This window comes from Homo sapiens, chromosome 16 (genome assembly GCF_000001405.40).
Source record: "Homo sapiens chromosome 16, GRCh38.p14 Primary Assembly".
Lineage (NCBI taxonomy): Eukaryota > Metazoa > Chordata > Mammalia > Primates > Hominidae > Homo > Homo sapiens.
Genome location: NC_000016.10, coordinates 15,079,552 through 15,094,144, shown reverse-complemented (window position 1 = coordinate 15,094,144; position 14,593 = coordinate 15,079,552). Strand labels below are relative to the sequence as shown.

At 40.8% G+C, this 14,593-nt stretch overlaps 2 protein-coding genes across 11 annotated transcripts in view; one reads left to right on the top strand and one right to left on the bottom strand.

Moving 5' to 3' along the window:
- Positions 1 to 14,593, bottom strand: part of PDXDC1 (pyridoxal dependent decarboxylase domain containing 1) — a 178,484-nt gene that overhangs the window by 59,074 nt on the left and 104,817 nt on the right. The gene's annotated exons all lie outside the window — the stretch shown is intronic.
- The window catches only part of RRN3 (RNA polymerase I transcription factor RRN3), a 34,314-nt gene that overhangs the window by 191 nt on the left and 19,530 nt on the right, over positions 1 to 14,593 (top strand). Inside the window, exons 2-9 of one of the 2 annotated variants that reach the window (NM_018427.5) lie at positions 1,531 to 1,636; positions 2,774 to 2,830; positions 7,691 to 7,780; positions 7,887 to 8,016; positions 8,447 to 8,506; positions 9,440 to 9,503; positions 10,563 to 10,632; positions 14,049 to 14,147. In NM_018427.5, coding sequence (NP_060897.3) covers positions 1,531 to 1,636; positions 2,774 to 2,830; positions 7,691 to 7,780; positions 7,887 to 8,016; positions 8,447 to 8,506; positions 9,440 to 9,503; positions 10,563 to 10,632; positions 14,049 to 14,147 — 676 coding nt within the window. The remainder of the gene's footprint in view (positions 1 to 1,530; positions 1,637 to 2,773; positions 2,831 to 7,690; positions 7,781 to 7,886; positions 8,017 to 8,446; positions 8,507 to 9,439; positions 9,504 to 10,562; positions 10,633 to 14,048; positions 14,148 to 14,593) is intronic. The other variant, NM_001301064.1, reaches the window with a different exon arrangement.

Genomic DNA, 14,593 nt, shown 5'->3' with positions numbered 1-14,593 from the left:
GTAAGATTCAGGCCGCTTCCTTCTGCGTATCTGGGACGAAAGCTCAGGACGGCGCTTAGAGGAGCGGATTGAAAGGATGTGGGACAAAGCTCATGGCGTGTGATAGGAGCACGGGGTGGAGGGTCATCTCACGTTCACAGAAATGAGCTCATTCCTCCTAACTGGGTAATAGACATGGGTGGGGCCTGGAAAAGTGACTATGTTCTCTGTTCTGGAGGCCCCCTTTCCCGACTGTGTCTCTTCGTGATTTCCCAGGCCTGGGTACTGCCTTCTGCGCCTTGACCCCTCTTCCTTCCCTCTTCTTCGTCCAAATTTGGAAGGGATTTCCCTGGGCTATGTGGGTTATCAGCCGAACGTCGTCACTCATGGCAAATTGAATATTACATCTTTTTTGTTTGGAATTTGTTTCGACACACGTATTTGTTTCGCAGTCTTTATTTTGCTCCACTTTTAAAATCCCTAACCCCCGTAGCACTCTTGGCGTTTAACTTTCAGAGTCATTAGGATGCTATGTTTTTTCATTAATTTACTACGTGTAAGTGAAGCAAACCTTGTAAAACAATTAGCGTAATATGATTCATAATAATTATCGAGCTCCTGCTTACTGTGTTAAACACTGGGGACAGTGGTTTATCCAAAGACACTAATGTCCCTGCTTTCTACAGAGCTTACAGCATAGGGGGGAAAGGCAGTACATAGGCCAATAAATAAACGAACACGATGATTTCAGTTATACAACAAGGTAATGGGGGAGGGAGAAGGGAGAGAAGGAGCTTTTGAGATTTCTCATTGGGAAGACATCTGTCATTTGAGCTTCCACTTGAATGAAGACAAAAATCTAGGCCGGGCGCGGTTGCTCACGCCTGTAATCCCAGCACTTTGGGAGGCCGAGGCGGGCGGATCATCTGAAGTCAGGAGTTGGAGACCAGCCTGGCCAACGTGCGAAACCTCGTCTCTACTGAAAATACAAAAATCAGCCGGGCATGGTGGCAGGTGCCTGTAATCCCAGCTACTCAGGAGGCTGAGGCAGGATAATTGCTTGAACCCGGGAGATGGAGGTTGCAGTTAAGCCAAGATCACACCACTGCACTCCAGCCTGGGCAGCAGAGCAAGACTCCATCTCAAAAAAAAAAATCCAGCCACGTAGAGATTTGGGAAAAGAGTATTTCCAATAGAGTGAACAGTAAGTGAAATGAAAAACAGCTTGGCTTGTTTGAAGAGCAGAAAAGACGTTATGGCTGTAGTAAAACAAGTTGTTGGAGATGAGGTGAGAGAGGTAGGCAGGGGCCAGATTAATGTAGGATCTTAAAGACCACACTGAGAGATTTGGATTTTTACTGTAAGTGCAGTGGGAAGACAGTTATTGGTTGCTGAGCAAAGGAAGGATTGTTGGTTAAGAGTGGAAGCAGGGAGACCAGTAAAGAGGCCTTAACAATAGTTCCACTGAATTATGTTGGTTCAATAAATGTTGGCTATTATAATTTTTATTATTTTCATGAACTTAATAGCTTGTTAATCTTGGTTCCACAGGATTTCAAATATGCGTGCATTAGAGAATGACTTTTTCAATTCTCCCCCAAGAAAAACTGTTCGGTTTGGTGGAACTGTGACAGAAGTCTTGCTGAAGTACAAAAAGGTAAGGGGAGATAATGTGTGAGGTTTGCTTTTGGTTAGGTCAGAATACAACTATTGCTGTTATACTAAAGACCAATAGAAATAGCAAGATTAATTAAGATACCAGTTGAAATCAAATATTTAATAATAGCATGATGCCGTCAGTGCAAAATTAGAGTAATAGTGTCCTTTTTTTCCCCCACCTTGGCCCATTTCACAGGTAATAATGAGAGAGTAATAATGTCTTTACTGAGGTTTCACCTCTTCAAATGCTTTATTTACGAAGCATCTTTTAACTTTAGCAAGTGCCAGAATTAAAAACAATTACACCATTTTATTTATTTATTTATTTGTGCTGGAGTCTTCCTCTGTCACCCAGGCTGGAGTGCAGTGGCGTGACCTCGGCTCACTGCATCCTCCACCTCCCAGGTTCAAGCAATTCTCCTGCCTCAGTCTTCCGAATAGGTGGGGTTACAGGCACACACCACCACACCTGGCTAATTTTTTTATTTTTTTAGTAGAGGCAGGGTTTCACCATGTTGGCCAGGCTGGTCTCGAACTCCTGACCTTGTGATCCACCCGCCTTGGCCTCCCAAAGTGCTGGGATTACAGACGTGAGCCACCATGCCTGGCCTACAGCATTTTATTTTTTGAGGAACTTACCTAAGCATTACTTTGGGACAGTAAACCAGTTCTCTGAGTAGGGATTTTTGTTTTTGTGGTAGTTTAGAAGCATTTCTACTGTATCTCAGCAGTAGAGGGAAAATGTTAAGTAACCATATGTTTATATGTAATATCCATTTGTATCCATATTTGAGTGAATACTTTTTTAGATCCTCCTGAATTAGATCATTATAGCTGGCTGTTTTTTTCCCTCATGCTTTTTGAGAATTCGCAGGAGTATCAACTATTATATTCAAATGTCAATACAGAAGTATAGCTAAATGTAGTTTATCATTTTCCTTTTTCCAAGCCCTCTGGCTGCACTAACATGAGTGTTTAAATTTTTGTAGTCATGATTTTATAATCCGCAATTGACATGTGAAAGTTAGTGTTCCTTTTATAATTTCATCTGATGTTAAAGTACGGTTAAAAGTCTTGCTGTTGATACTAAACAGGAAACAAAAGCATAACTTAATTCTTTCCCCTTCTTGTTAAGGGTGAAACAAATGACTTTGAGTTGTTGAAGAACCAGCTGTTAGATCCAGACATAAAGGTAATTAATTTTGTGTTTGATCATTAGCAAAATTATTGCCACTGTATACAGACATAGTTTGCTCTTTGGGTCCCATTCTGTCCTCCAGAACTTGCTCTCTCCATGGTCCTCCCTTATTTTAATCTGGTGGTTCTCAACCAGGGACAGTTTTACCCCCTAGAAGACATTTGGTGATGGCTGCAGATATTTTTGTCACAACTGGGAGGAAAGGGTGCTACTGGCATCTAGTGGGTGAATGACAGAGATGCTGCTAAACATCTCACAGTGCACAGGACAGCCTCCCAGAACCAAGAGTGATCCAGCCCCAAATGACAACAGTGTTGAGGCTGGGAAACCCTGCTCTAATGCTTCCTTTCTATTAGATTACTACCTCTTTCCTCCATGCTGCATGCAACTCTCTTGTCTCTTTAAAGCTAAAACAAAGCAAAAAAAAAAAAAAAACAAACCACTGATTCAGCATTTCCAGGTTCGAGATACACCTATCATGTAGTAAAAGCTGAATGCATTTTGTTTCACCATTCTTCCTTTACTGCCCAGTTTTGAAGAGAATGGTTTATTACTATGGCAGTGGTAGTTAGATTGCCTGGAATGAAATTCCAATTTTATTATCCAGTGTGTGATCTTGAGCAAATTGTTTTAACCTCTCTGCCTCTATTTTCCACTGTGTGAAACCAAGAAAACAATAGAGATTTAAAAAATATGGAGTGTTTTGTTTTTAAGAGATGTGGTCTTGCTGTGTTGCTCTGGCTATTCACAGGTGTGATCATAGTGCACTACAGCCTTGAACTCCTGGCCTCAAATGATCCTTTCTCTTCAGCCTTCTAAAAAGCTGGGACTATAGGTGCATGCCATGTTTAAAGTGCCTGGCTTTAAACATGGAAATACTTAACAAGGATTCAATGAGCTAATATGCAAGAAGCACTTAGAACAGTCTCTGACTCAAAGTAAGGGCAATAATTGTCATCTGTTGTTTTTGTTCCAGCTGACTGCGCTGTATCATTTCTCACTCACATTTAAGTCCACTGTTCTTATCACTGTAGTAATTACCCTGACAGGTTACCCATGTTTTTTTTTTACATGCTGATTTCAGTGGACTTTTTTTTTAAGACAAAGTCTCCTTCTTACCACGCAGGCTGGAGTGCAGTGGTGTGATCTGGGCTCACTGCAACCTTTGCCTCCTGGGTTCAAGCAATTCTCCTGCCTCAGCCTCCCAAATAGCTGAGATTACAGGCACCCGCCACCATGCCTGGTTAATTTTTTTTATTTTTAGTAGAAACGGGGTTTCACCATGTTGGCCAGGCTGGTCTTGAACTCCTGACCTCAGGTGACCTGCCCGCCTTGGCCTCCCAAAGTGCTGGGATTACAAGTGTGAGCCACTGAGCCCAGCCTCAGTGGACTTACTTTTTTAAGCCTTGTATTCCTTGTATCAGCCGACACTGTTGGCCACCCACTTCTTAAAACTTCAGCGTTTCTGATCCTCCTGTCTCCTGATCCTTTAATCTGTTTTTTTTTTTTTTTTTTTTTTTTTGCTCTGTCGCCCAGGCTGGAGTGCAGTGGCGCAATCTTGGCTCACTGCAAGCTCCGCCTCCCGGGTTCAAGCGATTCTCCTGCCTCAGCCTCCCAAGTAGCTGAGACTACACTCGCCCGCCACCACCGCCAGCTAATTTTTTGTATTTTTAGTAGAGGTGGGGTTTCACCATGTTAGCCAGGATGGTCTCGATCTTCTGACCTCGTGATCCGCCCGCCTTGGCCTCCCAAAGTGCTGGGATTAGAGGCGTGAGTAACCACGCCCGGCCAGTGATCCTTTAATCGCTAGTATTTCTTGATAGTTTCTTGATCTTAAATTTGGTGTTGATTGGGCTTCAAAACTTGACTCTTTTCTCACTCTGTTGATTCTTCTGTGTGATCTCCTCATCTCCCTTCATGGCTTTGAAATCTACCTGTGTCCTAATATATTTGTGTCTGTAGCCAAGATTGCTCTTGTGGGCTCCAGACTTATTTCATTTTCGTTTTTGGGGACGGGCAGAACAGAGTCTTGCTCTGTCACCTAGGCTGTAGTGTAGTGGGATGATCTTGGCTCACTGCAACCTCTGCCTCCTGGGTTCAAGCCATCCTCCCACCTCAGCCTCCCGAGTAGCTGTGCCACCATGCCCAGCTAATTTTTTTGTATTTTCAGTAGATTTGGGGTTTCACCATGCTGGCCAGGCTGCTCTCGAACTCCTGACCTCAAGTGATCCACCCGCCTCAGCCTCCCAAAGTGCTGGGATTATAGACGTGAGCCACTCCACCCGGCCTAGACTTGTTTCTTAACTGTCTGTTAGATGCATTTACCCAGAATCATCATAGATGCTCCAAACTTAGCATGTCCACTCTTGGCTGGGCTCCATCTTTCATGGAGCTTTCCCTGGTTCTCTCTAAGCACATGGTTGTTCCTTCATTGAGTCCATTTCCCACACTTCCAGATCTCTCTAGTTACAGATCTGGTTTACAAGGCCCCCCATGGTCTATTTGGTGCTTCTTTGTTCCCCAGATTTATTATCTGTTGGCTTGGTCACTATACATGCCTGCCATACTGAACGTTTTTCAGTTTTCTGAAAACATACTTTTCCTTCTGTAAGAAGCAGAACTTCCAGAAAAGACTCAACTGTGTTACTGTTTAAAGACAGCTGAAGCATCACTTTCTCTTTAAAGCTTTTCCTGACCCCTGCCTTCTTTCCCAGATACAAAGGGACATTTTCTTTGTGTTCCACTGTATTTTGTATCAGCAGTTCTCATTCTTGGTATTTTGACATACCAAGAATTGCACTAGTTGTGTGGAGTGTTGCAAGTAGAACTTTTTTCCATCTTGAGACAGGGTCTTGCTCTGTCACCCGGGCTGGAGTGTAATGGGCCCGATCATGGCTCACTGCAGCCTCAACCTCCCAGGCTCAAGCAATCTTCCCACCTCAGGCTCCCGAGCATCTGGGACCACAAGCATGTGCTACCATGCCTGGCTAATTTTTCTGGAGATGAGGTCTCCCCATGTTGCCCAGGCTGGTCTCAAATTCCTGGGCTCAAGCAGTCTCCTCCTGCCTTGGCCTCCCAAAAGTGCTGGGATTACAGGCATGAGCCACTGTTCCTGCCTGCTAGTAGAAATAATAATAGTTCAGTACTAAAGCATCAAAGTCTGCAACTGATTTACTTTTTTTTTTTCTTTTTGAGACGGAGTTTTGCTCTTGTTGCCCAGGCTGGAGTGCAGTGGCATGATCTTGGCTCACTGCAACCTCTGCCTCCGAGTTTTTTAAGCAATTCTCCTGCCTCAGCCTCCCGAGTAGCTGGGATTACGGGCATGCACCACCACGCCCAGCTAATTTTGTATTTTTAGTAGAGACGGGGTTTCTCCATGTTGGTTAGGCTCATCTCGAACTCCCAACCTCAGGTGATCCACCCACCTCGGCCTCCCAAAGTGTTGGGATTACAGACATGAGCTACCACGCCCAGCCTGATTTACTTTTAAAAATGGTACAGTTTAAATGTTATCCTTATAGTTTTGTTGCAGTCTTTTTAGTGGAAAAGAGATAGGATAGTTTATTTTATTTGTACACTAACTTAGCTTGTTTTCTACATGCCTTTGGCCTTAGTGAGCTACCGTTAATGTTATCCTTAACAGTTGTGGACATATGAAATTACCATAGTACAAATGAGTTGTGGTTTTACTTTATTTTACTGCCAGGCTACTTGGGATTTCATCAGAAAATGGTTGATCTGTGGGAGTTTGACACATGGATATGGCATAGTAAGCACTCAGTAGCTGAATTAAGGTGGGGAAAAGGGGACAGCTTCTTCTCCGCATATAGGGAGGCGTGTGGGACGGTGGACAGAGGATAGCCTTGACCGAGACAGACGGGTTTGGACCTGCTTCTTTACTGGCCTCTTGGTTGGGCAGATTGCTTATTAATCGTTCTTAGCCTCAGCTTCCTGAACAGCAAAATGGGAATAACTAAACATCTTGCAGAGTTTTTAGGATTAGAAGAAGATATATATGTGGAGTGTCAGGCACCATGCCTGGCATATGGTGTATTCTCACTAAATGATAACTCCATATGAATATCCCTGTAGGTATGACCTTGTGTTGCTTTTATTTATATGTCTAAGCCTTCCACAAATTAGGGGCTTTTTCTTAATGGTTTTTTTCCTGTGCAGTATATATGCATGAATATAATTAATATAGTAATATTTTACATAATTGACACTGTATTTTATACATTGCGTTTCAAATTTAGCAGTTCTTCTCATGTCACTAACAATTACTATGAACAGTAATTTGATTGCCCGAAAAATATTTCATGGAGGAATGGGGCTATCATTTATACAGAACAATCACATCATAATATATTTAAACTCAGCCACAGGTTTGGTTTAGAAAAGTTATGTTTATTCATGACCCCAATTGATCAGCCTCGACTGAGTTTTATCAGCATGCTTCCTGGTCAGCTTGAATATAGAGGAAATAGAGGTAGCTATTGTTCCTTTGTGATCTTCTAATATTTCAGTCTGCTAGAATGCTGCAGTTTTTAAAAGTCCCAGGTGTCAACATTTGAGGTGATTTCGCTTTTTCAGGGCAAACAGAAGTGATCAGGCTGAAGTATTGCATTTAAGTCTTTCTCCTGTGTATTAGAGTTACTAGATTACTTTCTTAAAACAGTTAAGTAATTTATTGTGACATCTTTTTCTGTTTTAATACCCAGTTTTGAGTTCCTTCCAAGTTTGTGACCTTTTCCCCCCAACCTATTCTTGATAAATGATTGATATAAGATAGCTGTAAATTTCTGTTATGTTAGAGGATTTGTGATTTTGAAAGTACTCTTTGTTTAACTTAAGGATGACCAGATCATCAACTGGCTGCTAGAATTCCGTTCTTCTATCATGTACTTGACAAAAGACTTTGAGCAACTTATCAGTATTATATTAGTAAGTTCACCATTTATTTTACTGTAAAGTATGTAATTCAGAACTTTGGTAATAGTATATGTTATATTAATAACATGCTGCTTTTATCTTTCTTCCCCCACTCTAGAGATTGCCTTGGTTGAATAGAAGTCAAACAGTAGTGGAAGAGTATTTGGCTTTTCTTGGTAATCTTGTATCAGCACAGACTGTTTTCCTCAGACCGTGTCTCAGCATGATTGCTTCCCATTTTGTGCCTCGTAAGTCATTGCTTGGAATTTTATTTTCTTTTTAATACTTCTTTATTAAAATACTACCTTCCCCTTATATATGAGAGACTGCTACCATGGAAGATTCCAGATGCATATTGGCACCAGGTCTGGTAGACATATATTCCCCGTAATGACCCCTATGGAGGTGTCTAGATTCATTTGTTGCTGTGAGTTTTATGAATTTATTTGCTTTATTGAACTCCTGGTGAAATCTAGGAATTTTTAGCCGTTTAAAAACTATAAAGTTGCTTTACTTTTTTTCAGATTGTGCGTTTAATTAATCATTGGGCTAACTTTGGATTATGGAAAAATAACTTTTTTTATAGCTGTTCATTGTCTAGGTCAGTAACTTTTTTTGTATAGCCATTCATTGTCTAGATCAATGACAGAATAACATATTTTCTTTTTCCCTCAAAAGCCCGAGTGATCATTAAGGAAGGCGATGTAGATGTTTCAGATTCTGATGATGAAGATGATAGTAAGTATAAAAAGGTTTAAAGCCTGGGCACAGTAGCTTTCACCCATAATCCCAGCACTTTGGGAAGCCAAGACGGGAGGATCACTTGAGGCCAAGAGTTTGAGACCAGCCTGGGCAACATAGTGAGACCTTGTCTCTGCAAAAAAACATTTTTTTTCAAATATTTTCTTAAAAAAGGCTTAAAGTAGAACTAGGCAGGGTAGTGTGTGTCTTTAGTCACAGCTACCTGGGAGGCTTAAGTGGGTGGATTGCTTGAGCCCAGGAGTTCAAGCCCTGCTTGGTGGCAAGACACTGTCTTCTTTAAAAAAAAAAGTAAAGCACAGAATACCTGGCACCTATTCTAATAAGTAGACTGCAACAAATGACAACCTTTGATGTAATCTTTTTGTTATATTTACCATTGATATGCAGTCATTTGTCCTGAATGCATTATTTATATAATTAGTCCATTTAATTTTCGTTGATGCTGGTGGAGAAAAATCTTGAAATTATTATTTCTCTGATAAATTATTCCGTTTTGGTTAGCATGTGTTTTTAGCTTCAAGTATGTCACTTTTTGTTTGTTTGTTTTTTGAGACAGAGTCTCGCTCTGTTGCCCAGGCTGGAGTATAGTGGTGTGATCTCGGTTCGCTGCAGCCTTCACCTCCCAGGTTCAAGTGGTTCTCCTGCTTCAGCCTCCTGAGTAGATGGGACTACAGGCATTTGCCACCATGCCTGGCTAATTTTTGTATTTTTAGTAGAGATGGGGTTTCACCATATTGGTCAGGCTGGTCTCGAACTCCTGACCTCAGGTGATCCACCCACCTCGGCCTCCCAAAGTGCTGGGATTACAGGCGTGAGCCACTGTGCCCAGCCAGCATTTATTTTTAGCTTCAAGCGTGTCGCCCTTCAGTTTTGTTTTGATGCTCATACTCTGAACTTTTCTCCTTTCAGATCTTCCTGCAAATTTTGACACATGTCACAGAGCCTTGCAAATAATAGCAAGATATGTACCATCGTGAGTATACTTTTCCTTATTTTGAATGTTTAATTCTCAAGAAAATTGTAATCAATTAGTAAAAATTATAAAATGTTAATAGTATTAAAGCTTGAGTCTTACATTGCATGTTTTTTTTGTATCCACTTGAGGAAACATTACATTCTACAAAAAGTGGCATTTCCATTTTCTATTTATTCTCTTTAATTGTTTTTCAAAGTTTGTATGCAGATCCTCCCCCAATTTTGTATGGTGGTTGGAATTTTGCTTTTATCTTCAACAGATATGCTATCCAAAATTTTTCAGTGAGAAACCCCTGGGTGTGTTTGTGTCATGCCATATGAATAAAAATTGCACTTCTAAGAAAAGCTTTTCAGGTTTGTGGGTTTCTTTTGGAGGGGTGGACCTCTAGTTCCCTCTGTCCGTTGATTATTTGTTAACTTAAAAAAAATCCAACTTGATGATTTTTTCTTCTTTTAAAAATAATATACATGTGTAGTGGGAAATGTCAGCAAAAGTGCTGTTATGTTTCTGTGGGAGAGAAGCTCCCTCTTTGATTTGCTGTTGATATCAGAGTTAACAGAACCTTATTTTCTCTAAGTCGTTATAGATTTTCTCAGAAGCTATACATTGTAAGTTCCAGTTCTGGCCGGGCGCGGTGGCTCACGCCTGTAATCCCAGCACTTTGGGAGGCCGAGGCGGGCGGATCACCTGAGGTCGGGAGTTCGAGACCAGCCTGACCAACATGGAGAAACCCCGTCTCTACTAAAAATACAAAATTAGCTGGGCATGGTGGCGCATGCCTGTAATCCCAGCTGTTTGGGAGGTTGAGGCAGGAGAATCGCTTGAACCTGGGAGGCGGAGGTTGCAGTGAGCTGAGATTGCGCCACTGCACTCCAGCCTGGGCAACAAGAGCGAAACTCCGTCTCAAAAAACAAAAAAAGTTCCAGTTCTTTGAGGTAGGGGTTCCTGTTTGCCTCCTATGTCTATCAATATTTGCTTTTAGAATGGTAGTTTTCCTTTTTATTCCTTTTCTAGAAAGTAAAGTTAACATGGATTGATTTAATTTTTTAAAAATAGGACACCGTGGTTTCTCATGCCAATACTGGTGGAAAAATTTCCATTTGTTCGAAAATCAGAGAGAACACTGGTAAGAAATCTTTTCATTGAGAACATCATGGAAAAGTTGTTTGTACGATTTCATTTTAGATGATATTAGGTCTTTTTCTTTCTTTTCCAGTCTTTCTTTTTCTTTTTCTTTTTTGAGACCGAGTCTCACTCTGTCGCCCAAGCTGGAGTGCAATGGCGTCATCTTGGCTCACTGCAACCTCTGCCTCTCGGGTTCAAGCGATTCTCCTGCCTCAGCCTCCCCATTAGCTGGGACTGCAGGCGCCTACCACCATGCCCAGCTAATTTTTGTATTTTTAGTAGAGACAAGGTTTCACCATATTGGCCACACTGGTATCGAACGCCTGACCTTGTGATCTGCCTGCCTCGGCCTCCCAAAGTGCTGGGATTAGTGAACCACTGTGCCCAGCTAATGTTAGGTCTTTTTCTTAAAGGTTACTTTGTCTTCTAGACTTTAAACTGACGTCTAAGAATTTGACTCAGATTCCTTTCTTATAAAGCGGCTATTGGGGATTCCCAGTGCCTTTTTCTGTTATTACTATGTGCAAGTCAAGGTCTGAGTTCATTTCAGGAATATCTGTAGTGGCTTTATGCTCATATGGACAAGAATTACTAGAAGATAATAGTTCATGTATTACTAATTGTGAACATGCCTTATTTTAACCTGAAGACAAAGCCTTCCATAGAAGAATTCTGCTTAAGTTTTTGTACAATGTTCAGATCATCTGTGCAGTTTTTAATAATTAATAGTGGTTGCCTTAGTAGAAAACCGAATCTAGTAGCATACAAAAAGAATTATGTACCATGACCAAGTGCGACTGATGTTAAGAATGCAAGATTGATTTTTTTTTTTTCAGGGGTGGGGGGACAGTCTCCGTCTGTCACCCAGGCTGGAGTGCAGTGGCACCATCTCAGCTCGCTGCAGCCTCTGCCTCCAGGGTTCAAGTGACTCTCCCACCTCAGCCTCCCGAGTAGGTGGGACTATAGACATGGGGCACCACACCCCGCTAATTTTTGTGTTTTTGGTAGAGATGGGATTTTGCCGCGTTGGCCAGACTGGTCTTGAACTCCTGACCTCAAGCGATCTACCCGTCTCCACCTCGCAAAGTGTTGGGATTAGAGGCGTGAACCACCGTGACCGGCCGAGATTGAGTTAGTACCTGAAAATGAATTAATAAAATATTTTGTAGCAATAGAACAAAGGACAAAAACCACATAATCATCTCAGTAGATGCAGAAGTGTGTGACAAACACCAATATCCTTTTACGAGAAAAACAGAAGGAAATTTTCTCAACCTGATAAAGGGCATCTGAAAAACCCACAGCTAACATCATATTCATTGGTGAAAGACCAAAAGTTTTTTCCTAAGACAAAGAACAAAACAAGGATGTCCGCTCTTGCTGCTTGTCTAGCCAAGGCAGTTAGGCAAGAAAAAGAATTAAAAGCATCCAGATGGAAAGGAAGGCGTAAACTCTCTTTTGCAAGGTGATTTTATATGTCATTCTAAGGAGTTTACACACACACAAGAAATTTTAGAGATAATAAATGAGTTCAGCATGGTTACGGGACAGAAGACTAACATACACTAACCAGTTGTTCAAGACAATTGAATAGGGGAGAATAGTCATTTCAACAAATGCTGCTGGCAGAAGTGGATATGAACATGCAAAAGAATGAAGCATATGGATATCCATATTTAAAAATGAACTCAATAAAAGCCCTACATGAAGAGTAAAAACTGTAAAACTCTGAGAAGAAAACGAGTACATTTTCATGATGTTGGTTTAGGCAGTAATTTCCAGATTTGATGCCTAAGCACAAGCAACCAAAGAAAAAAATGCATCAATTGTACTTCAAAATTAAACGTTGTTATGCTTCATAGGACATCTTCAAGAAGATGAAAAGGATCCCCAAATAATGGGAGGAAATATTTCTAAATTTTATGTCTGGTAATGGACTTGTATATGTAAAGAACTCTTATAATTGAATAATAAAAGGGCAAATAGCCCAACTGAAGTGGGCAAAGGATCTGAATAGGCATTTCTGCAAAAAAAGCACATGAAAAGAAGCTCAACATCATTAGCCATCAGGGAAATGATTTCACTTCATGCCCACAAGGATGGCTATAATCAGAACGAGAAGACAGTAACAAGTGTTCACAAGGATATGGAGAAATGGGAAGTTGGAACTGTCATATGTTGCTGTGAGAATGTAAAATGGTGCAGCCATTTTGGAAAATAGCCTGGCATTTCTTCAAGGTTAAATGTAGAATTAACACGTGACTCAGCAGTTCCATTTCTGGGTTTATACCCAAGAGAAATGAAAATATATGTCCACAGAAAAACTTGTACATGGATGGTCATAGCAGCATCATCCATAATAGCCTCAAGTAGAAGCAACTCAAATGTCTGTCAACTGATGAACAGACAAAACATGGTACAATGGAATATTACTCAGCAATGAAAAGGAATGCTTTATATGTTACAACATGATTGGACCCTAAAAACATGCCAAAAGACTGTGTATTATATGACTCCATTGATATGAAAGGAATGGTTTACATGTTACAACATGATTGAACCCTAAAAACATGCCACAAACTGTGTATGACTCCATTGATATGAGAGGAATGGTTTACATGTTACAACATGATTGAACCCTAAAAACATGTATTATATGACTCCATTTATATGAAATGTCAAAGAGGCAGATTCATAGAAAGACTAGTGGTTGCCAAGGTCTTCATTTTTTAGGGGTGCACTAATGGATGTAGGATTTCTTTTTAGCGTGATTAAAATGTTACAAAATTGCTGGCTGGGCGCAGTGGCTTATGCCCATAATCACAGCACTTCAGGAGGCTGAAGTGGGAAGATCCAGGAGTTGAAGACCAGCCTGGGCAACATAGTGAGAAAATGTCTCTCTAAAAGGAAAAATTAACCTCATGTGGTGGTGTGCACCTGTAGTTCTAGCTACTAGGGAGGCTGAGGAGGAAGGATTGCTTATCCTGGGAATTCAGGGTTGCAGTGAGCTATGATTGCACCACTGTACGCCATCCTGAGAGAGAGAGCAAGACCCTGTCTCTAAAAGAAAAATAAATGTTCTGAAATTGATTATGTTGATGGTCTCATAACTGAATATATTAAAAACTTAAATTGTATACTTTAAGTTGGTGATTGTATGATATATGAGTTTTATCAATACAGCTACTTAAAAACCTATAGTTATGCAAATTAAAAATTTCATTTACTGGGAATAATTGAAATGATTATACCGAACATAATACATGTAGAAACAGTATAGTTTTTGTATTGCTGGATAGTCTGTTTTTTTCTTTTTAAATATTTGAAACTAAAGGTCATGTAATTGATGTTTTGCTTACATAACTGTGAAACGTTTATTCTCTGTTGAAATGTTTTATCTTACATTTTCTCCTTTAGGAATGTTACGTTCATAACTTACTAAGGATTAGTGTATATTTTCCAACCTTGAGGCATGAAATTCTGGAGCTTATTATTGAAAAACTACTCAAGTTGGATGTAAGTATTGAGTAATCTATTTTTATTTTCATTTACTGACTTGAATTTGTTATAATCACAGTATGTGGAAACAATAGTCAGTGATAGAAAAGAATCCACTTGGCCAGGCGTGGTGACTCACGCCTGTATTCCCAGCACTTTGGGAGGCCGAGGCAGGCAGATCACCTGAGGTCAGGAGTTCGAGACCAGCCTGGCCAACATGGCGAAACCCCGTCTCTATAAAAATACAAATAAAAAATTAGCCAGGCATGATGGTGGGTGCCTGTAATCCCAGCTACTCAGGAGGCTGAGGTGGGAGAATTGCTTGAATCCGGGAGGCAGATCTTGCAGTGAGCTGAGATCGTGCCACTGCACTCCAGCCTGGGCGACAGAGCGAGACTCCATCTCAAAAAAAAAAAAAAGAAAAGAAACCACTAGCACCATTCTTTGCTTCCTTTCTTTGAATG